Source organism: Homo sapiens, chromosome 3, assembly GCF_000001405.40.
Source record: "Homo sapiens chromosome 3, GRCh38.p14 Primary Assembly".
Lineage (NCBI taxonomy): Eukaryota > Metazoa > Chordata > Mammalia > Primates > Hominidae > Homo > Homo sapiens.
The window spans coordinates 105,993,782-106,018,380 of NC_000003.12; the positions used below are offsets into that span (position 1 = coordinate 105,993,782).

Genomic DNA, 24,599 nt, shown 5'->3' on the forward strand with positions numbered 1-24,599 from the left:
CCCCACAACAGTCCCCAGAGTGTGATGTTCCCCTTCCTGTGTCCATGTGTTCTCATTGTTCAATTCCCACCTATGAGTGAGAATATGCGGTGTTTGGTTTTCTGTTCCTGCGATAGTTTACTGAGAATGATGATTTCCAATTTCATCCATGTCCCTACAAAGGACATGAACTCATCATTTTTTATGGCTGCATAGTATTCCATGGTGTATATGTGCCACATTTTCTTAATCCAGTCTATCATTGTTGGACATTTGGGTTGGTTCCAAGTCTTTGCTATTGTGAATAATGCCGCAGTAAACATATGTGCGCATGTGTCTTTAAAGCAGCATGATTTATAGTCCTTTGGGTATATACCCAGTAATGGGATGGCTGGGTCAAATGGTATTTCTAGTTCTAGATCCCTGAGGAATCGCCACACTGACTTCCACAATGGTTGAACTAGTTTACAGTCCCACCAACAGTGTAAAAGTGTTCCTATTTCTCCACATCCTCTCCAGCACTTGTTGTTTCCTGACTTTTTAATGATCCCCATTCTAACTGGTGTGAGATGGTATCTCATTGTGGTTTTGATTTGCATTTCTCTGATGGCCAGTGATGGTGAGCGTTTTTTCATGTGTTTTTTGGCTGCATAAATGTCTTCTTTTGAGAAGTGTCTGTTCGTGTCCTTTGCCCACTTTTTGATGGGGTTGTTTGTTATTTTCTTGTAAATTTGTTTGAGTTCACAGCTGAATTCTACCAGAGGTACAAGGAGGAACTGGTACCATTCCTTCTGAAACTATTCCAATCAATAGAAAAAGAGGGAATCCTCCCTAACTCATTTTATGAAGCCAGCATCATCCTGATACCAGAGCCGGGCAGAGACACAACCAAAAAAGAGAATTTTAGACCAATATCCTTGATGAACATTGATGCAAAAATCCTCAATAAAATACTGGCAAACCGAATCCAGCAGCACATCAAAAAGCTTATCCACCATGATCAAGTGGGCTTCATCCCTGGGATGCAAGGCTGGTTCAATATACGCAAATCAATAAATGTAATCCAGCATATAAACAGAACCAAAGACAAAAACCACATGATTATCTCAATAGATGCAGAAAAGACCTTTGACAAAATTCAACAACGCCTTCATGCTAAAAACTCTCAATAAATTAGGTATTGATGGGACATATTTCAAAATAGTAAGAGCTATCTATGACAAACCCACAGCCAATATCATACTGAATGGGCAAAAACTGGAAGCATTCCCTTTGAAAACTGGCACAAGACAGGGATGACCTCTCTCACCACTCCTATTCAACATAGTGTTGGAAGTTCTGGCCAGGGTAATTAGGCTGGAGAAGGAAATAAAGGGTATTCAATTGGGAAAAGAGGAAGTCAAATTGTCCCTGTTTGCAGATGACATGATTGTATATCTAGAAAACCCCATTGTCTCAGCCCAAAATCTCCTTAAGCTGATAAGCAACTTCAGCAAAGTCTCAGGATACAAAATCAATGTACAAAAATCATAAGCATTCTTATACACCAACAACAGACAAACAGAGAGCCAAATCATGACTGAACTCCCATTCACAATTGCTTCAAAGAGAATAAAATACCTAGGAATCCAACTTACAAGGGATGTGAAGGACCTCTTCAAGGAGAACTACAAACCACTGCTCAATGAAATAAAAGAGGATACAAACAAATGGAAGAATATTCCATGCTCATGGGTAGGAAGAATCAATATCGTGAAAATGGCCATACTGCCCAAGGTAATTTACAGATTCAATGCCATCCCCATCAAGCTACCAATGCCTTTCTTCACAGAATTGGAAAAAACTACTTTAAAGTTCATATGGAACCAAAAAAGAGCCCGCATCGCCAAGTCAATTTTAAGCCAAAAGAACAAAGCCAGAGGCATCATGCTACCTGACTTCAAACTATACTACAAGGCTACAGTAACCAAAACAGCATGGTACTGGTACCAAAACAGAGCTATAGATCAATGGAACAGAACAGAGCCCTCAGAAATAACACCACATATCTACAACTATCTGATCTTTGACAAACCTGAGAAAAACAAGCAATGGGGAAAGGATTCCTTATTTAATAAATGGTGCTGGGAAAACTGGCTAGCCATATGTAGAAAGCTGAAACTGGATCCCTTCCTTACACCTTATACAAAAATCAATTCAAGATGGATTAAAGACTTAAACGTTAGACCTAAAACCATAAAAACCCTAGAAGAAAACCTAGGCATTACCATTCAGGACATAGGCATGGGCAAGGACTTCATGTCTAAAACACCAAAAGCAAGGGCAACAAAAGCCAAAATTGACAAATGGGATCTAATTAAACTAAAGAGCTTCTGCACAGCAAAAGAAACTACCATCAGAGTGAACAGGCAACCTACAAAATGGGAGAAAATTTTCGCAACCTACTCATCTGACAAAGGGTCCCTTGGGTTTTGATTATTAAACGCCTTGAAGTAGTCTTCTTTGGGTTAAATCTTCTTGGTGTTCTATAACCTTCTTGTGCTTGAATATTGATATCTTTCCATAGGTTTGGGAAGGTCTCTGTTACTTTCACTTTGAATAAACTTTCTACCCTTGTCTCTTTCTATACCTCTTCTCTAAGGCCAATAACTCATAGATTTGCCCATTTGAGACTAAATATAGATACTGTGGACGGGCTTCATTCTTTTTGTTCTTTTTTCTATTGTCTCCTTTGACTGTGTTTTCAAATAGCCTGTCTTTAAGCTCTAATTCTTCTGCTTCAACAGTTTTGCCAATTAGACACTCTGAGGCATTCTTCAGTATGTCAATTGCATTTTCAACTCTAGAATTTCTGCTTGATTCTTTTTAATTATTTCAATCTCCTCATTAAATATATCTGACAGAATTCTAAATTCCTTCCCTGTGTTATCTTGAATTTCTTTGAGTTTCCTCAAAACAGCTATTTTTGAGTTCTCCGTCTGAAAGAGTACATATCTCTGTTTCTCCAGAAATGGTCCCTGGCACCTTATTTATTCTGTGTGGTGAGGTCATGATTTGTTGGACGGTCTTGATGCTTATAGATATTTGTTCGTTTCTGGGAATTAAGGTAGTCTTTTCAGTCTGGGCTTGTCTGTACTTCTCCTTCTCAGGAAGGCATTCTTGCTATTCAAAGGGACTTGGTTGTTGTGATCTGAGTTATATCTGCATTGGTTACCACCCCAAGCCCAGTAATGCTGTGGTTCTTGCAGGCTCGTAGACATAGCACCTTGGTGTTCTTGGATGAGATCCAAAACATTTCTCTGGATTACCAGAGAGAGACTCTTGTTTTTTTACCCTTAATTTCTCCCAAGCAAATGGAGTCTCTCTTTCTGTACTGAGCTGCATGTAGCTGGGGTTGCGGTGACACTTACACCCTGTGTCTACCACCACTGAGACTGGGTCAGACCTGAAGCCAGCACAGCACTGGGTGTTGCCCATGGTCTGGTGTAACCACTACTTGGCTACCACTTACGTTTGCTCAAGGCCCTAGGGTTCTTCAGTCAGCAGGTGGTAAGGACAGTCGTGCTTGTTTTCTTCCCTTTAGGGTGGTGAGTTGCCTTAGGCCCCAGGTAGGTCCAGAGATGATATCCAGGAGCTAGGGACTAGAGCAAAAAAAACTTTAGAATTCTACCTGGTGTTCTATTGTACTGTGGTTGAGCTGCCTCTTAAACCACAAGATACAGCCCTTTCCACAGTCTGAGGGGCCTCTCTCCAGTCCACCACCACCACAGATCCATTGGGGTTACTGCCAGTCTACTGCTGATGTTCCTTTAAGGCCTAAGGGCTCTTCAGTCAGCTGGTGGTGAATGCTGCCAGGCCTGGGACTCACTGTTCATGGCAATGGGCTCCCCTCTGGCCCAGGGCATGTCCAGAAATGCTGTCCAAGAGCCAAGGCCTGAAATCAGGGACCCCAGGAACCCACTTGGTGCTTTACCCCACTGAGGCCAAGCTGGTACCTGAAGCCAGCACATCTGAGTCTCACCCAAGGCCTACGGCATAGTACTTGGGTATTACTTCTGGTTCTTCAGAGCTCAAGGGCTCCTTAGTCAGCAGGTGGTGAATCCTGCCAGGACTGGGTTTTTCCCTTCAAGGCAATGGGTTCCCTTCTGGCCCAGGGTATGTCTAGATGTGTCATCTGGGAGCTATGGCCTGTAATCAGGGCCCTACAACTATGCCCAGTGCTCTTTCCTACTCTGGTTGAGATGGTATCAAAGATGCAAGACAAAGTCCTTTTTATTCTTCCCTCTCCTCTTCTCAAGCCAAAAGAATGAGTCACTTTTGTTGCTGCAATTTGTGCTGTCTGGAGTTGTAGGAGGGGTGATGCAAGCACTTTCTTAGCTGCCCTGGCTGGTGTTTCATGTCCACCAGCTCTGCGTTCAGCACAGCACTCGGACTTGCCTAGGAATTGTAAGATTTCTTTTCAAATTTATTGAGGACCCCAAAGCACTTCAGCCTGTGATGGCAAGACTTGCCAAAACTCGAGTTCTGACCCTCTGGCTAGGGCTGGTCTAGATGCTTCCTCCATGGGTGGGTGTCAGCTGATTTTAGCTGGGTTTTGCTTTCTGCTGTGACAGGGCAGCACTTAGTTGAATGCAAAGTCCCAGAGTTGCTGTGCTGTCCCTCCCCCAAGGACACAGATTCTGTCTATATACCATGTGGTCACTGCCAGGGCATAGAGGAAGTGTGCCATCTGTAATTCAAGACTGTCTTTCCTGCCCTCCTCAGTGCCTCCTTCACTGATATGAAGTTAAAACAAGGTACTGTGATTGCTCACTTGATCTTTGGTTCTTATGAAGGTGCTTTTTTGTGTAGATAGTTGTTAAATTGGTGTTCCTGTGGGAGGGATGATAGATAGGTCAAGTGTTCTATGTGGCTATCTTGCTTTGCCCTCTCCTACAATTTCTTATTCATCTATTTTCCTCTGTTAGCTCTTATCTGCTTGAACTAACTAGAATGAATTTTTAGTAGTTCATTTCTGGTGCTATAACAACAACAACAACAACAACAACAACAACAAACAAGCAAACAAAAAACAGAAACTGGTTAGCTTATAAATAACAGAAATTTATTTCTAACATTTACGGAGGCTGAGAAGTCCAAGATCAAGGTGTTAGCTAATTCAGGATGTGGTGAGAGCCCACTTTTTGGTTCACAGAAGGTGCCTTCTCATGGCATCCTCACATGGTGGAAGTGACAAATGAGATTTTAAAAATCTCTTTATAAGGGCACTAACCCCATTAATGAGAGCACCATCCATCATCATGACCAAATTACCTCTGAAAGGCCCTACCTGTTAATACCATCAACTTGGGGGTATGACTTCAACATATAAATTTTAGGGGACACAAACATTCAGACTTTAGCAGAATTCTGTTGTCTACCTACAGGTGAAATTTGAGTTACACAATAATTGCTTCATCAAGTGGTTGCCGGTAATCAATATTCAAAGAAATCTTAATATTTGGTTGACTATGTGGCAAGGTCTAATTATCATTAACAGATAGGATTTGTTTCCATGACAACCAGTGGTAAAACATTTAAATTATGTCTTGTGATAATGCTAGAATGAAGTCCTATTAAAGACAAAGCTGTCTAAACTGAGTGACTGCTGTGATAGTCCATTAACGGTAGTTCAAGCATAAAAAGACTGTGTGGGTGGAATGGCTACTTCAGACTGTACTGCAGAGCTTTGAATGCATCAAAATATGACCAGGGAACCCAGATATTTCTATGATTGCCTTAAGATGATGTCTTATCTCTTATATCAGCAGAGTTGAAGAAGTCCGAATTCAGAAGTCTAAATTTCTGATTTCTAGGTTTTATATAAAGGAGCCCAAGATGGCCTCTGTATATTGGCCATATGTTGTTTACTTCTTTATAACAGGCTGAAGTCTGTTAACTCAAAAGTTTGACACCACTAAACTCTAACTCATATATATCCAGTTGTTTTAAACATACCCCCAATGTGCAGAGTTTTAGCCATTTAGAGCCTCTTGGCTTTCCATATTCGATGAAAATGTACCAAACACTTACTAGGCAGAGATAAGATAAACTCTATAGATATAAAAGACTCCAATTCTAACCTTTGGAAGTGTTGGACTCCCCAGAGATTTACTGTAGGACTGCTGAACATTGCCTAAAACACAAGCCTCCTATCTGATCTCTCTCTTTCTCCTGGGAGTTCTCTTGCCCTTGTCTCACTATGAACAGTGGTCCCTGTGCTGTATCTCTTGGATATTCTTATGCTCTGAGGTCTTTCTCTCTACCCCAAAACCTGTTAAAGTGTTGCCCAGATAATGCTTATCTTAAGCTCACAGTGTGCTACTGTCACCTCATTGTCTTTTTTTTTTTTTTTTTTTTTTTTTGGAATCAGTCCCCACATTCATCACACTTACTGTACCAGGGTAGTTGAATTATACTGCAGATCACATTCATAACTACATTACTTCTCTTGAGTAAAAATTAATTTACTTCTTGAAAATGAGAAGGATCTGGAAAGTTAATCAATGGTTTTGGTTAATTGGACAAATATGAATTCCCTGAATCTCCTGTCAATCTACCTCCTATGCCAGCAGAAGAAACCTCTCCTTCTCACTCATGTGTCTAGTTTTTTTGCATCCAGTAAATTCCTCACTTGAAACAATTATCTTGCAAGAGAATTCAAATTCTTCTCATTTCAATATGTCTACTTCCATTTTTTACCTCAAGGCCTATAAATTATGTCAGGTTTCAATATAACCTAGGGAGTCATTTACAAAATAAACCAGGTTCCATACCAAAAATAATTACAACATTTTGCTAATATAGCAAGAAAAAATCTGGAGAATTTATGAAAATGGCCTCTGAGATTATAGACAATGATGGGAAGGATATCATATTTGGATAGGCTTTTTGCTTGTTATTGTTAATATGGGCGTATACAGCTAGAGCTTATTTAACTCAAAATTCTTGATTTAGAGTTCTAGTTTGAGAAAATAAGAGTGCTGCTAAATGTTTTCTCAGTGGATTGATTAAAACTTCGGCTCCGTATTGGCCTACGATGAATGAAACTGAGATACCAGTGCACTCGTCTGTTCATTGTAGCACTTGTCACAATAGCAAAGACATGGAATACACATAGGTCTCTATCAACAGTGGATTGGATAAAGAAAATGGGGTACATATATAACATGGAATACTAGACAACCATAAAAAAGAACAAAATCAAGTCCTTTATAGCATCGTGGATGTGGTTGGAGGTCATCATCTAAACAAAATTAATGCAGGAAGAGAAAACCAAATACTGCAAGTTCTTATTTACAAGTGGGAGCTAAACATTGGGCACTCATGGACATAAAGATGGCAACAGTAGACACTGGAAACTACTAGAGGAGGGAGGGAAGGAAGGGTCACAGATTGAAAAGTAAACTACTGGGTACTATGATCAGTCCTTGGGTGGGATCATTTGTACCCCAGACCTCAGCATCACACAATATGTCCATGTAACAAATCTGTATATGTACTCCCTGATTCTAAAATCAAAGCTGAAATTATTAAAAAATTTATTAAAAAAAGAAAAGAAATAGAGATGTCAGAATTTCCTTAGTATAATGTAGAAACTTGGGGAAATAGGATGGCTGAAGTAAATTATCTCTGAGAGGCAATCGACTCAGTCACCCTGTAGTTCTGTTTCTGAAAGGTCCTAGTTTATAGTCCCTTCCCCACAGAACTGATAAATAAATTAGTATAGATAAATACGTTAGTAGAAACCCTGTAGTGCCTGTTCTCTGTAGACCAAGGATAAAGAAGAGAAATAATGACACTGAAACAGACTGTCTGATTTCAATGGGGTTATAGAATCCCTTCGTAACAGAGGCAAAGTAGCAGCACTTAATGAAAAGGGAGAAGATTATAATAGTTACTCTAACAGGCAGCAGAGCCAAAGTGGTAATAGAAGTACTTTGATCTGCAGTTATTTTTGGCAATAACTAATTGATCATTACATTTCTAGAACTGAAATAGATGAACACTTCATTAATTCCCTACTTGATCTGTATTAACAGAAAGGATAAAAATTTATCTATGTTAGAAAGGTCAAAGTGGAAGACTTTGCAACTGGAGAAATTGTCAGAAATACAGGTCTATCATAATTTATGAACAGGGAATTTCTTAGGCCACATGGACAGGAACTCAGAGTCAGTTATAATCTTGGTGACAAAAAGATTTTGGGAGAAGACTCATGAATGGATCTCTTGAAATAATGCCGGAATGAGAGATTATTTGCTTTTCGTGTAAATGGTCATCTAATGATATCCTCTTCTGAGCAGACTCTTAGTCAGGTAGATCACATGATCACGCTGTGGATGTCTGTTTCTTTCTTCAACTCTCCCAGTTCGTGACCATTGAGCTCATAAACAAAGTGGGGATAATGGTGGAGACTCAAGATTTCTCCTCACTGAAGTTTTTGCCTGGCTTCTTACATTGTAGTGTGCCAAATAAGTCATTAACAGGGAAGAATGGTGAACCCTTGTGTAACATCATATTACATGAGACAAATCAGCCACCTGGGAATAAGTGAACCCATTTCATTATGTAAGTAGAAATTTTTAAGCTAAAACTGACTTATGTTCTGAAAATAGATGAAGCTACTGAATAAATCTATTGAATACCATAAAATATTCAATAAATAACTACATGAGAATAATTCATATTATCCCCACAAATTTAATGAGCATTATTGTATGAGTCTAAGCCATCTGTTTATTTTATGTCAGATAAAGTTCTAAGAACTAGAGTAAATGCAAATTGAAAGTTTCTCAAAGCATTAAAAAGTACTTGCTGAGAACTTTCCTTTTATTATTCTTAACAAAGGTGAGTATCTGTAATGTCAGAATAGTGTGGGTTATGCTGCCATAAAACACAACTTCAAATCTCAGTGCCTTAAAAGAATAAAGGTTGATTTCTTACCCGTGTTCCTTAACAATTGCACATTGCCAGGTACTTATCATGCATTCTCAGGTATACTGGCTAATTGGACAGCCAACATAATGAGTATTGCCTTTTCTAGCAGAGGGAAAAGACTGCTCTGGAGAGTCTCACTATAGCCCAGAAGTGACATACTTCAGTTTTACTCACACCTCATTTGCCAGACTAGTTACATGGTCCAAAACAACCATAAATAATCAAGAAGTGAAATCCTGTGATGAATTTGGAGTACGGAGGACTGAAACTATGTTGCTGACTCCAAAATACCTATCCAGGAGTTATGTCAAGCTTTTCTCAAGACATTAATATTCTGGGATGATATTTGATAGTTAGCTTTTAATTTTAAGAACTGACAAATTGCTTTATATTCTTCTAAGGATTTTCTTGGAGCTATGCTGCCTTTGCTTAATGTTCCATTTTGTTTTACCATTTTCTTCATTTTCCTTTTCTTCCTTTGTCTTGGGCAGGCATTCCAAGAATAAAAATTCAGATTGAGAGCAAAGGTTGACATAGGCTGACGATTCAGAGTGAAAGTACAGGCAAGGGAAGTGTTTTCATCGGGAAAAGGTCGAAGGCTTAAAGATGATTCGGCAATGTACTTTGTTGGATGATGAAGAGCATTACATAAAATTTAATTCTATTATAACTATCTTGAAGTACTTAAAGAATAATGAATTAGAAGATGTGGTAATAGAGTGACTGTGGAGGAAAATGTGGCCTCCAGTATCCACTTAGTAATAGTTCAAAGATGTGGATATTAAAACCTGGTTTCATAGGTTGCATTAAGAAATGCTACCCAGGCCACCTCACTTATTTCAAAGGGTTATGGATCTCTTTGCTTCCATCTGACATCCAGATGGACAGGATGAGGTGGAAAATGATGATTATTTTATAGTCTGCCTCCTGGGTTGTAGGGGTGGAGATGGAGTCTTATGAAATAAAATCCTGTCATAGATGCTGGAATGCCTAGATATCATAAATCAGGTGGACTAGTGGCATTTTACCAAAATATAACTTCATTAATAATAACTTCCTAATAAAATTATTGTTTAAAAAAGTCCTCAACTTAATCCAGACTTAACTGTTACTTATCAAGGATTTGTTATGTGCATAGCACAATGATCATACACATTTTAGCTTGAGCTAAAGTTCTCTAGAAACTTTATCAAATCTAAGAATTTCATAGAAATTCTATAATTGTGATCAACATATTGGGGAATTGCATTTACTGAATAAGTTTGTCAAAGATAAAGATGAGATGTATGCTTTCTCTACCAAGAAAAGAACAATAGGGATTTAAAAGAGAAATGAAAAGCTATACATGGGATAGGTTTGAAGTAAATGTTATAACTTACCCAAGAGATCTTAAAAGCAGTAGATTCCCAACTGCTAAAATAGGTTATTTTCCTTTAAATATGTACACCAAATGGAATCTTGAAGCCTAAACCCTCACATGACTCAGTCATAAGGTTTTGGACTTACGTAGTCTTATCTGAGGAACTCAGAGTGCATCCGCTTCATTAATGCTTGCTCACAATATTCTTAAGAACCACGAAGGGGGAAATCAAATTATCAATTCAAAGACAGAGAAACAGACCAGAGGAATCAGTGACATGCCCAAGATAAAAAACAAAAACGAAACCAAAAACAACCCACCACCTAAACTGGAAATAGAAGTAAATTCTGTCTTCCCAGCAATCTTGCCCTATCCCACATTGTCTATACAGTTCCCAAGTGACTCACTCTGTTGATAAACTGAAATATGCTGAACTCTATATAATTATGCTACCTAAGCACAATTTAATGAGTGTGTAATAAAGCCCTTCCAGAGATATGAGGGAGGAATCGTTATTATTTTTAGCAAATTACCAAGCAGCAACTCAAAAAGAATCTAACTCTAAATGCCATGCTTTGAAGTTAATACTGCGAATTCTGTAGTACAGTTTTCACTTTTTCTTTCCCAAATGATAACTGATATGAGAAGGAAAGAGTTGCCAAAACACAATCTGTAAGCCGATTAAAACAACAGTTCCAATGAAAAAAATCTGAAATGAAAATGGAATGGTGAAAGTCAAAGTAATGCCCAAGCCAATAAATAAAAATGACTTTTAATTAGTATTTCTTATGGTATACACTGAATATTGTACTCTTTATGAGGTCAGAAAATCAGTATCCCTTGCTAAACTCTGAATTGACTTTATATAAGCTATCCGTTTGATAATGAGAACTGGAATTATTTGAACTTTCACCCACATTAAGCCACAGAAATAAGCACAGTGAGTGGCCTGACATTCCTTGTGGAGCGGCCTGATCATCAGCTAATATGTGTGGACACATTTGGATAGATTTTACATTATCAGTAATTTGCGATTATGCAGTCAGGTGAATTACAGTTAAAGGTGTATGAAATTCCATCACTCAATAGTGGTTTTTGTTCAATGACAAAAGTCATAGAACTTGTAATGACTTATAGGGAATCTATCCAGAAATGAGCCATTTGTCATCCCAAATGCAAAATCCAAGCTTCAGCTCATATCAGATGTAAAATGATGTATGAATAAATATTTTATGATTATTACAACACTAAAAACTAGGAGTTGGTAAGTGCTTCAGAGTGTTGGTGACACCTCTAGGCCTGTATACATAAGCCTAAATTAGTAAACTTTAAGCTTAATGAATAAACTTTAAGTCTTAATCAGTAAATTTTATACATTTATAAAAAGATGAAAAATTATCCATACCCTTTTAGTGGCAGTAAAATGTATGAAAGGAAACATGGTGAAACAAAGAATACAGAAATAGAACACAGAAAACCTAAATTCTAGTTGTGCTGAATTGCAATGTAATTTTGGATTTTAATTATCTTAGATATTTTCTTCGTCTATTAAATGGTGATAACCACCAACAAAACTGTAAGAATAAATGTATAAAAGACTATGCAAACATAAAACATGATTATGTTAATAAAATTCAGATACACTAATTGGAACATTAGTGTATCCTATGAACATGATTATTTAGGTTAACATTTACTTTGCATTACAATTACATTACTTTACCTAGTTTCAAAAACATTCTCTCAAAGAAATAATTTCCAATAGTTGATACATTTATATTCATATATCTCCAAAGACACTGTCTAAAAGGTATGTTTGTGGATTAGTTAGTTGTACTTGCCTATATTTTCCATATGGGACTGTGATATTGTTATATAATTTTTGTATGCTAATAAGATAACGAAAGGCTGGGGCTCCTGGGTAACCTCAGACTGAGAGTTGGTTGCCAGGGGAACCAATCCTGTGATTAGAGGTTTAGGAATTTTAACCCAATTCCTGGACTTTCAGGGTCAGGAGAGAGGCTGAAAGTTGAGTCAATCACCGATGGCCAATGGCCAATGATTTAATCCATCATGCTTATGTAATGACGCCTCCACAATAACCCGAAAGAACAGAGGGTGGAGAGATTTCTGATTCCTGAACACGTGGAGGGTGGCATGGTCCAACAGAGTGTGTAAATTCCCAGCCTCTCCCCACATATATTGCCCAATACATTCTTCCTTCTGACTGTTCCTGAGTTGCCTCTTCCATCTGACTGTTCCTTTTATAATAAAAGGATAATAGTAAGTAAAGTGCTTTTCTGAGTTCTGTGAACTGCTCTAGCAAATTATGAAACAGAGAAGGGCTTTGTGGGAACCCTGATATGTAACTAGGTTGGACAGAAGTTGTGAATAACCAGGAACCTGCTACTTATGACTGACACCTGGAGTCGGGGTAGTCTTGTGGAATTTCATCTATGCATTTCATCTTACAGTACTATGGGAATTTGGGATGGGTGTTTAGTAAATTGTTCACAATAAGTATTTTCAAATTTTCAATTATAAATAAAAGTTTCTGATTGATGAAGCACGAGTATGTAGTCATGTGATTTATGGGTCATGTCACTTATTCATATATCTGGAAGTGACTGATTTATTCATCCCAGGAGTTGTTTCCAAGTCATGCAACTGCTTTGTGAACACAACTGACTTAGAATCTCAGAAGATGATGAATGGTTCATGCACTTGATTTATAAGATGCATTACTGACTTATAATTCCTCCAGCTGAGGCAGAAGTCAGTGCTTTATACTTGGGTATAAACATTCATTTTATTAATAAAATAAGACTGATTTATTTTACTTATTTGTGTACGTGGACTTTAAATTTTAGCCATAGTTATGCTCTAAATCCATGTGATTCTCAAACAAGCTTAAGGTACAGATTGTATAATTACAGTGTAGTTTATGGAAACTTCTATTGCATGTTGTACCACATTTTTTCAGCACATGCTATGACCAAGATGAATTATTTGCTTATTTTTTTTCCCTTTTAGGGCTAAATACACAAGTCTTTACTTGCTTTGCCTGTTACCTCCTATTCTCTATTCTTTTTTAAAAATGCATATAACCACAGCTGGGACTTCGGGAGCTTAGCTGCCACTTCAGAATCCAAAGGCTGGCTTCACGGTGGCCTTGTGGACATTATTACTACTGTTGGATTGTCTCATGAGGGAGATGATACCAGTCCCTTAGAGACATATGGTTAGAAACTAGTACAGAGTAAGCTGAAAATGGAGGGGTCAAGGACAGGGTAAAGCAATCCAACTACAGATATTCACTTTGAAAAGGGCCATAAGGGTCTGGGCCAAAAGTTTAAGAAGGGCCCAAGTATAAAATTTATTTCCAAATTGGGTGAAACTTAGAGTATCTAAACTTATGACTAAGGCATAGCAGATAGTAATGTAGAATCATGGTGATCAGAATTCCATATAATAGTGATGTAGTTTAGCTTTGTGTCTTCACCCAAATCTCATCTTGAACTATAATCCTCAAGTGTTAATGCAGAAACCTGGTGAGAGGTGATTAGATCATGGGGGTGGTTTCCCCCATGCTGTTCTCATGATAGTGAGTGAGTTCTCATGAGATCTGAGGGTTTTATAAGCGTCTGGCATTTCCCCTGCTTGCACGTCTCTCTCCTGCCACTATGTGAAGAAGGTGCCTGCTTCCCCTTCACCTTCTGCCATGATTGTAAGTTTCCGTGGCCTCCCCAGCTGTGTGGAACTGTGAATCAGTTAAACCTCTTTCCATTATAAATTACCCAGTCTCAGGTATTTCTTTATAGCAGTGTGAAAATTAACACAAATTTGAAGCCTGGTGTTCAAGATTCTAAGAAATAATAATAGTAGTTAATATTTATTGAGTGTTTTCTGTATGCAAGATCGGATACTCTTCTAAGTGCTTTCTGTCTGTAAACTCAATCTTCACAATAATCTTCTGAAGTAGATACTAGTATCATCATTTTTATAGAAAAACAGACACCCAGAAAGTTTAAGTATTATACCCACATTCTCCCAAGAGCCAGGCATCAAATGCAACCTGTTCTCTACTGTGTCTTTCCAAAGGACAGCGAAGGTGGGAAGTTGGCCTCAAACTCAGAAAAGACAGCTTAGAAGAAAGAATGGATGAGAATTTCAGTGTATCAGCAAAATGCACTGCAATTCATGGTGGAGCTTAATTCTTTAGGAGGCAAAAACTTGAATTTTGTCCAACATAACCGATTAGAACAAAGGAAAAGAACTATAGACTGTTAAAAGAGATGTGGGAAATAGAGGCAGGCTAAGAATGACAGGGTTAGAAAATCGTTTGAGTATCAGAATGTATTGGAAAGATCCCAGAGTCTAATGGCAATGCCAAGTATTGTGTCTGGAATAGAGTTGACTCAATCAAACTTCATTAAACAAACATTGTTGAAAGAAAAAAGCAACTTGAGGAGAGACATTATAATCTATTCAGGTAATTTTAACCCCACGAAGTTTGTAAATGTAAGCTCTTTGTATAGCTCTGAATTGAATGAAGAATTAGAGAAGGTAGAGCAAGTGACTTAGGGTAGAGAATTACCATAAACAATTTGAAAAATACTTATTATAATATTCCTGTCATGAACCCATTGAAGGAATGTTAGCTTTTAAAATTATTTAAATTGAAAAATCAATTGACTATTATGGTTAAAAAGTCAATGTTTAAAGAAAGGACTTTCTACTTCCAGGCACAGAACAGCTGGAATTTAACTTAACCTCTCATCATAAACATCTAGAATACTGGACAAAATATATGAGACATCTGTTATCAGACAATGAACAGCAGGAAACACAAATCTGTAGTTGCTGCAAAAAAAGAAGCATACAAAGTGAACTTCTGTCTGAAGCCTCTTTTCAGATCTCAAGCATAGCATACTGTGCCTGTTGAGTTGAGGAGACCGAGACTGGAGATAGGGAAGACAGAGGCAACTTGAATTTGCAGAACAAAGTAGGAGGTAGGAGAAAGCTATGTTGAGAAAAGAAACTCCAGAAATCTGCATGGGAATCACTTAGAGCTTTTGCCTAAATTGTAATCTGTGTATGTGTAGGGTGTTGCTTAACAGGAATAATAACTAAAATATCAAAACAGAGCAAAAATCAAGAACAGTGGAGAATGGGGCTAAGGGTGGTCTCCTCAATAAAAGCTCATAATCCTTTGTTTTCTTCCCAAACCTGATCCAGTTTTCATATCCAGAATTCATTGACTGTTGAGATGGCTTTGTCTCTGGGAGGAAGGACCCTCAACACCATGGCAACCATGTACCAGCATGACTCCCCAGTCCTTCCCCAGAGGGACCTGTAGCCATTTATTCAGGTGTATGTCTAATTTGGGAAGAGTTATGGAATACAAGTTCTGGGTTAACAATGATTTCTACAGATTTAAAAATCATTGCTGTTCCCCTTCTAGAGTCGGGCTATGGGAGCCAGGTAATAAATAGAGCACTGGCCCAAGTTCAGCTCCCAGCAGGCCCATTATAGTCATTTCTCTAGTTCTTGAGTGTATAAATGGAACTGGTATACCTGGCAGTTGGACTAGCAACCACATTAGGTCCCTGGTCCCTCGGGTAAATCTCTCATAGTGTGGAAGGCACAGTTGTGAACATGGCTACTTCATGGTTATGTACGAGGTAATCTACAGTCATTTCCCAGGATCCATTTATTTTCTACAAAGGCCAGGCTGGCAAATTAAATGAAGATGTGACAGGGACCACTATTCTTGCTTCCTTTCCTTTTTAAAGGCTATATCAATCTCTGCTACAAACCCCATCCTCACCCTGGGATACAGGATTGTTTTCGAGAACTACTGTGTTGCATTGGTGACTGAACAGGGCAAATGAGAGGTGGCTTGTGTGCTGACAAACTTAGTTAGACACTTCAGACAGTGGGAGATAAATCCTATACAGATTCAATGAAGGTTTAAAGGGTCTAGTGATCAGGGCTATGCTAGAACATTTTTCCAAAGGAAAAGACAATTGCTGCATCTTCCCTCCTCTACCACAAAATAGTCTTGTAGGCTTCCTTGGGTTCTGGAGGCAGCCCATTCTACACCCAGAAATACTACTTCAGCCCAAATATCCAGTGACATGGAAAGCTATTAGCTTTGAGTAGGGCCCAGAGTAGGTCTAGAGTACAATGAGTGCAATCAGCATACTGCTTGGGTCCTATAATTCAACAGACTTTAAGGTGTTAAAAAGTGTTAATGATAGGAAAGATGCAGCATAGAAATTATGGCCAACTCCAGTGGATGGGGCTCTATCTCTCATGCAAAAGAAAGGTTTGTTTATTGTCTGATGCAATAAAGGTACCATTTCCTTTAAAGGCAAATGTCAGGGAGGCTTACTACCCAGTATGAAATATTTGTATTCCTTAAGCTCAGAATCCTTCTCCTATAATACAACCCACTGCTTGATGTCACCTGGTTTTCTTCACATTTCTCTATGGGAACTGAAGCTCAGGAAGATAGAACAATGCTGATACTCTGGCTACTGATATTGCTGAGAATAATACCACCCTTCATGTTACCCAGGAGTCTCATGTCTTCTGCCAGAACCCAGAAACTCTGGCAGGATTGTTAGCTTGCAAGTAAGGTAAAATCTCATTTTCCTTGTAATTTGTAACATTCTTAACATATTCTTTGTAATTTGTAACATTCTTAACATCAACTCACTTGTTGATGATTCCCACGTACATTATTTTATTGTTGACTTATAATGTGTCCCAAGTTTAAGGGATCATTTTGGTTTTCTAGAAGTACTTATGCTCAACTAGGGCATCCTCTAGACCTTTAAGTTCATGTCATCTTGATAGTAGAGATTTAAATGTTATCTTCCCACAAATCTCTTTCTTATATTATCTCTTTTTCCTGCCGAGAATGATAAGTAAGGTTTCACACCATATAGGTCAAGAAAATGTGTCATAAAGCTTCCAGAACACTTAGAGCGTTTCACTTCTTTTACACTTGGGGCAGACCTTTTCTTTTCAGAATTTGCACAACCCCCTGAGTTTCATTTTTGTTCTGCAATCCTTCCTAAATAAAAGAGAGTTCATGTGAAAGAAGAATTCATGTAAATCAGAGTCTCCTAGGTTTGTATTTTGTTCTGAGGTTGTTAGCAAAGCTATTTGGTAGATATGTACCAACAAAGAACAGATATTTTAGAAATACTTTCTCACTTTTATAAATTTTGACCATATAGTTGTATATACATCACATTTCATCCTATTTTATCTCAATAAGTATTAATACAAATTGGAACATGGATGTGAAGGATAAGGAACAGAGTTCCCTGGCAGAAAAAAAAGTAGAATAAGCATCAAAAACTTCAGACGAATACTTAAAACTAAAATTCTACTCTTTGTTATTTACCAGAAAGAAATGAAAGCATATGTTCTCAAAAAGACTTTACATGAATGTTCATAGCTGCGTTACTCATAATAGCCCCAAATAAGAAGCAACCAAATGTCCATCAACAGGCGAATGGGTAAACAAATTGTGGTATGTCCATTTAAATAAATAACATCAGCAATAAAAGAAAATGATATACTAATACATACAGCAACATGGATGGATCTCAAAAGAATATGCTAAGTGAAAGAAGGTGAATACAAAAAGTACATACAGTTTTGTTTCATTTATGTGAGTTTCTAGAACAGGCAGAGCTAATCTACGATGACTGAGAGCAGACCCATTATTTTCTGGGGATGTGGAGTAGTAATTGCAAAAGAGGGAGCTTTCTGAGGGGACAGAAATCTTCTGTAACTTGACTGTGATGGTTATCACAGAGGTATACACGTTTATCAAAACTCATCGAGCAGTATATTGAAAATAGGTATGTTTTATTGTATGCAAATTATACCTCAGTAAAATTCTAAAAAGAAAAAAATTCAAGATTATAAAAAATTAATGATGCTAACTGCCTTTGTTTAAAGTATAAACATAACTTGGAGTTAGATATATATTTTGTATTATGCAAGAGAAAATTTTGAGATTGGTGCTGGACAGAATTGTGGTAACCATGATGAAAATAGTGAGGTCATTCTATACCAACTCAATGTCAGTGAACTGAAACACGTGTTTAAGGGCCCATAATGATTGTTCAGTAATGCCAACTATACTTTCGTGTGTGTAATTACTTTTATTTTGTAAACCTCTATTAGTCCCTATTGTAAAATTTTGGGTTATAGTTAAAGTGAGAGTGCCAGTATTTCAGAAATAGTGCTGTCATATATGTTCACATGAATTTTGTGCGGCACAACTCAATGGGTGCCATTCATGGACAGTACAGTATGATTTTACCACAGGTTGAGCTGGCATTAAAAGTCCTTTTCAGGTGTCCTTAAGTTAAAGACAGTGCCTATACATCTTGGTTTCAGGGTACCTTGAAGTCAAATGCTTTTGTAGGCTTTCTTAAAGTATGGGTCCAGTCTCTCTGTGAGAAAGCTGCCAGCTTACAATTTATCTGAGGTACATTCCACTTGCTCTTCCAAATGTCCAGTTTGTCTTTTTCGTCATTACTAGACTGAAAAAAGGAGAGGCCTTACAAGGAGAGTTGTTGACTTATTTCGTTCTGCTTTATTGCAATCTTTACAACAAGGGGGGAGACATGATTTTTCATTGCATATGACTAGTTTGTTTTAAAGTCCTTCACTGTTTCCTGATCAATAGTTTGATTTACAAATAGTGTTTAAATTCACTAACTACTATACAGCTGTAGTTTCCTTGAGAATTTTATATCCAGTCTCTGACACAGACCATAGGGACAATGCTGTTTTCTTAGGGAATACACTAGTTTAGCCCCATGTTAATGCAAGGGGTATGATTTTTTTACATATATATTAATGTAAAGCAAACCAACATATATTTAGGCATTATAAGATTTCATAATATGATGATCTGTTTTCCTGGTATTGTCTCAAATAGTAATGGAAAATGTTAAATATTTTGTGTTTTTTCCTTTTTGTAAAACGTAGGAGATACACTAACTGATCGACTGGCAACTTTTTATTAAAGGGCCAAACAGTAAGTGTTTTAAGCTTGTAGGCCATGAGGTTTCCTTTGCTATGTCTCTACTCAGTCACCACAGCATGAACGCAACCATAAACACTGCTTAAATGAATGAGAGATGATCTGGGCTCCAATAAAACTTTATTTACAAAAACAGGTGATTGGCCCACAGGCCAAAGTTTGCAGACCACTGAATTAAATAATATTTAAATTTTCTCAAGTGTCTAACATGTTGTTACTCTATAATAATAAAACAGAAAATATTCTAAAATAATGCTATGTGGTTTAAACAAAAGATGTAAGTTCCTTGTCAAAAAAACTGGAATTATAAGTTTGTAAGCCCAACTTTTGACATGACAGATAATTGAGCGTTTAGGATCATTTCAGAAGCAAAGAAATTAATTTCTTATCTCTCTCACTCTGTGCACTTTCAGGAAATGTATTACATGGATTTATTTGATAAGAGTTAAGAATGGGTATATTCAGAATAAATGAGCTTGAAGTGCAAGATGTATTTTAAAAAGTCTTTGATCAAAAGCCACGTTACATTATAAAGGTAAGATGCTATGCTGAGGATTTTATGGAACAAGAATTTAATAGCATGCCAAATTTCGGATAGAACCCACTTGACATTGTCACAGCATATAAGTGAACTTTCTGGGGTGGTATGTCCTTGATGAAGATAAAAATACATTCTGTTCCTTAAAAATGCAAATTCATTTCAAAGTACATTAAACTTGAATAAATAAAGTTTTAATGAAACATAGGGTTGTTTTTGAAATTCACTCTGTTCTTTGACAGACTGTAAATGGCTTCATTTCTCTGTGCTTATCCCTTTTTCATAAGGTCTGTAAGCACTATTCTACAATTATTAAATTCTGGACAGCCTTTTGTATCTCTGACATAGTTTGAGGAAGGAATTAATGAGCAATAAGCCTGTAAGTTACTTGCTCAACTTCTCCTGTTAAAACAGCTCATCCAAGATCACTCACAAACAGCTGTGTCTACAAGTCATAAATGGTAGGTCATGGGTGGTGACTAACATGTGACTCCCAATCTGTGTGTCTGAAGAGTTACTCCTCAAAAGGGATATTTTCACTACGTGAAAAAGTTATTTTAAAGGGCTCTATCATCACCAAGTTATGTGGGCCCCATCTAACCTACGCCAATTTCAAAAATGACACATGGATAGGAGATAATTTACTCTTTCAAGTCACACAAGATTGGTAAACCAGTTTAGGGCTTCAAGATCTCTAGGGACAAGGTTCATCTGTCCCTTAAATTCTTTTCCCTTCCTCCTGAAGGCATTTGCCTTATACATTTCATACAAAGTTTTGACAGTATCAGCAATCAGAAGCAGAGACACATTCTCCATTCCCCATCCCAATCTTCACTGGATCTTTGATTTCATGTAAGTCCATCCTGCTTGAAATTGTATCTCAGGAGACTTGGGGTTAGAGCTTTGGGTAGCAATAATGTTTGGCAAAATAATACTGTAAAACTGGTTTGGAAAGCTCAAAAGGGAACTCATTTACATTTTAAGACTTTTGCTACTTCCTGGTTTCAGGCAGTGCCGAGACACCCACAAACATGAACACTTTTCAAAATTGCATTTGGCACATGCTTTTTCAGTTCCAGCTAGATTTAGGAAATGTGCCAGCTAAAAATAATAATGTAATATGAGCAAGATTTTTTCTTCTTTCCTTTTTTCTTTTCCTTTCTTCCTGAACCTCTGGGAACATTGTTAATACTGTCAAAGAGGCATAATTACTTTTTTGGGGGGCATAAATTACATTTTTAGAATTACACCCTCCATTCCTTTGATGGAACCCAGAGCCAGGATGGTGTATAGCGGTAGGCTGTGTGTGTGTGACAAGGAAGTGCTGCCTGAGTATAGAGCCAGGAGTGGGGAAATGGGAAATGGGTATTTGCAGATGGTAGCTGACAGGCAGCATTGTCCCGCCTGGATATCATCCTGACTTGTGTCTTCAAAGTATAGAATGTAAGGACAGATCAGAAGATACCCAGTACCTTCTGATCAGAAAACATGTGTCATCTGTGTTTTCCTTCCCATCAAATATGTGCATCCTATTTTTTCCTTACAACTGTCATATACCATCTGCAAACCTTAGCCTTGCCAACAGTTACCCTTGAAGATAGAATGCCAGAAATTTGAGAAAATAAAACTAAGGCAGAATTTTGGAAAATCGAATGGCAGTTTCTTATAAAGTGAAACATGTACTTATCCTGTGACCCAGCAATTGTACTACTAGGTATTTACCCAAGACAGATGGAAACATGTGTCTACTAAAAATCCTGGGCGCAAATGTTTATAGTAGCTTTGATCATAGTAGTCCCAAAAATGAAAATAACCCACATGTCTGTCAATTGCTGAACAGATAAATTTTGTATATTGACACAGTGAAATACTACTCCACAAAATAAAATAAAGACATGAACTACTGATAAATGCAAAAACATGTATGAACCTCAAATGCATTATGCTAAGTGAAGTAAACCAGGCTTAAAAGTTTAGATATGGTTTGATTCCGTTTACATCACCTTCTGGAGAAATAAAAGCAGTAGTGACAGAAAGCAGATCACTGCCGATAGAGGAAGGAGACTGACAAAAGGGAATGAGGAAAATTTTGGAGGCAATGGAAATGTTCTCTATCTTGATCTCAAACTCCTGGAGTGATCCTCGTGCCTTGGCTTCCCAAAGTGTTGAAATTACAGGCATAAGCCACTGGGCCTGGCTGTTCTCTATCTTGACTGTGTGATAGTTACACCTCTTTGTGCTTGTCAAAAATCATAGAGCTGTATGCAATAAAGGGGGAGTTTTTGCTATATGTAAATTATATGGCAATACACCTGTCTTTAAAATAATTAGGCAGAACTTCACGGAGGTACTGAAAAACTTAATGCATGTTTCTTGTGTCCCTTCTGGTTTCCTTTGTTAAAAAAAAAAATCCCCAGCTACTTGGGAGGCTGAGGCAGGAGAATCGCTTAAACCTAGGAGGCAGAGGTTGCAGTGAGCCGAGATCGTGCCACTGCACACCAGTCTGGGCAACCGAGTGAGACTCTCTCAAAAAGAAAAACAAAACTCCCCTCTTCCTTTCCCATACATCAGCAGTTCGACTCCCCCACCTATTATGACAAGCTAAGCAAGACACTCAGTGTTCTTAATCAGTGGGTTCATTTTAATGCTTTCTGATACCTGTTTAGTCTCTACTTAGTTATAATTACCTTCTTCTCTTTCTTCAGCAACCCTGCTGTTTTCTGAAATCCCCTACCCTCAGATAATCAGCATGGGGCTTACTTATTTGGTTCTGTAGTTTAAACTGTCCTGAAAAGGTGGATGGGCTCCAAATGATTCTCTTTGTCTTTACAGTGGCTGTGAAATGTGGAGATGGCCACTTTATTTACTAATTCAACAAATAAATATTAATCGCCCACTGGATGCCACACACTTTGCTAAGCACTGTGGTACTGCCCTATGTAAGGGGAACTTAGTCACTGCATAAGTGACTTAAACACTGCCTAAGTGTTTCCCCTTGTTGTTTCTCCCTGCCTAGTGTTAAACAACCATAGCAATAATTTTGACACACGCAAGAAAGGGAAAAAGGAAAGCTCTGTGAATAGTTAGAGCAGGGTCCACAACATTTTTCTTGTCCAGATACAATATATTTGATGTGATAGATATAATGGCATATGATTAGTCGATGAGATCAATAGAAGGAGAAGGAGACCAATACCACAGCATATCAGCAATTCCTACAATGCTGGAGCACTGGAAGGAAAGATCTGATTTGGAGGACTTAGCTTGTCTGGAACATAAGATAAAGCTGAGACTAGAAGGACAAGTTCCAGCAGTAATAGTAGTGGTGACCTTGCTGGTGGTGAAGGATGTAATAATTACAGTGTAGCAGTAATAATAGTAGTAGCAGCAGCACTAGTGGTAAGAGTAATAAAGCGAGGCTGTGTAGGGGAAGGATTTCAGGCACAAGAAGTACTGAAGGAGGATAAATATTATACTAAAAAAACCATGATGGGGCATATGTAAGAACTCATAATATGTAAATCTTTAAAAATGGAAGAATTAGTAATAAACTAGATTGGATTTTTTTTTACTGACAGGAACTTTTTATTTTTATTCACATCCAGAGATCTTATGTATAAAGTAACTCGGATGTTTTGTATGGACACTTCCTGCTATGAAGGCAATAATTTATTGGGAAAAAAGATACACACATCTACTACTAGAAAATGAGACAGGACAGAAGTATTCTCACCCTAAAACACTGGATACAGTAAATAGAACTCTGGAAGGATAGAGCTAACTAGCTGATAAGGGGTATTCCTGGCTTTAAAGAGCAAGACAACAGAGGAAGGAAGATGTGGAGCTTGCATCCATCTAGTTGGATGAGGTGGAGTCGAGGGCTTTCAATCCTGGGGTTCTCCTTGAGCCAACCTAGAGATAAAAGGGAGATAAATTTATAGGAAAAAGCAAGAGCTCATTTTGTTTAAATGATTAAGATAATTTGGTTGTCCATTATTCCCAAGTGGAGTTGTCCCAAACAACATGCCCTGTTCCCATTTGAATCAATATGCTGTTTCTTGCCATTAGTTCTTGCTCCATTGGGGAAAAACACATTATTCTCCCATTATGTGTGCTCTTTCTCTCTCAACATAAAAAGTGCTAGATGTTTTGATTAAATTATCAGGATGAACATCTGTAGCAATGAAAGGTACATAAATACCAGTTCAAATCACTTTTTTACTTTTAACATCTTTTGGGATAGGCTAGGATCTCCTGTGAGGAACACACATCTGAGCAATGTTTTGTCTCATTTTGTTCCGTACTTTCCCAATATGCAGAATGAGATTGGAAGCTGCTATGGTCTCAGTGTTTGTGTCCCCCCAGATTCATATGTTGATACCTAATCCCCAGTGCAATTGTATTAAGAGGTGGGGCCTTTAGGAGGTGATTATGTCATGAACGGGATTAGTTCCCTTATGAAAGAGGCCTGAAGGAGCATGTGCAACACATCCACCATGTGAGTACACAGAGGGCACTATTTATGAGGAACAGGCCCTCACGAGACACTGAATCTGCTGGCACGTTGATCTTGGACTTCCCAGCCTCCAGAACTGTGAGCAATAATTTTGTGTTGTTTATAAATTGCACAATCCAAGGTATTTTGTTATAGCAAGAGAAGTGGA

The 24,599-nt window shown here is 37.9% G+C and overlaps 1 long non-coding RNA gene across 1 annotated transcript, besides 1 other annotated feature; it reads left to right on the forward strand.

Moving 5' to 3' along the window:
• The first annotated feature begins 4,690 nt into the window (after positions 1-4,690).
• LOC124909403 (uncharacterized) lies at positions 4,691-12,890 on the forward strand. The gene is made up of 2 exons (XR_007095991.1): positions 4,691-4,775; positions 8,485-12,890. It is a non-coding gene; the product is annotated as an uncharacterized LOC124909403 (long non-coding RNA).
• Positions 22,405-22,970: an enhancer, noted in NCBI's record as "OCT4-NANOG hESC enhancer chr3:105735033-105735598 (GRCh37/hg19 assembly coordinates)". NCBI's record gives its function as "activates a minimal SCP1, AML or CMV promoter by ChIP-STARR-seq in naive H9 embryonic stem cells {active_cell/tissue: H9 hESC(naive)}" and the evidence as "EXISTENCE:reporter gene assay evidence [ECO:0000049][PMID:30033119]".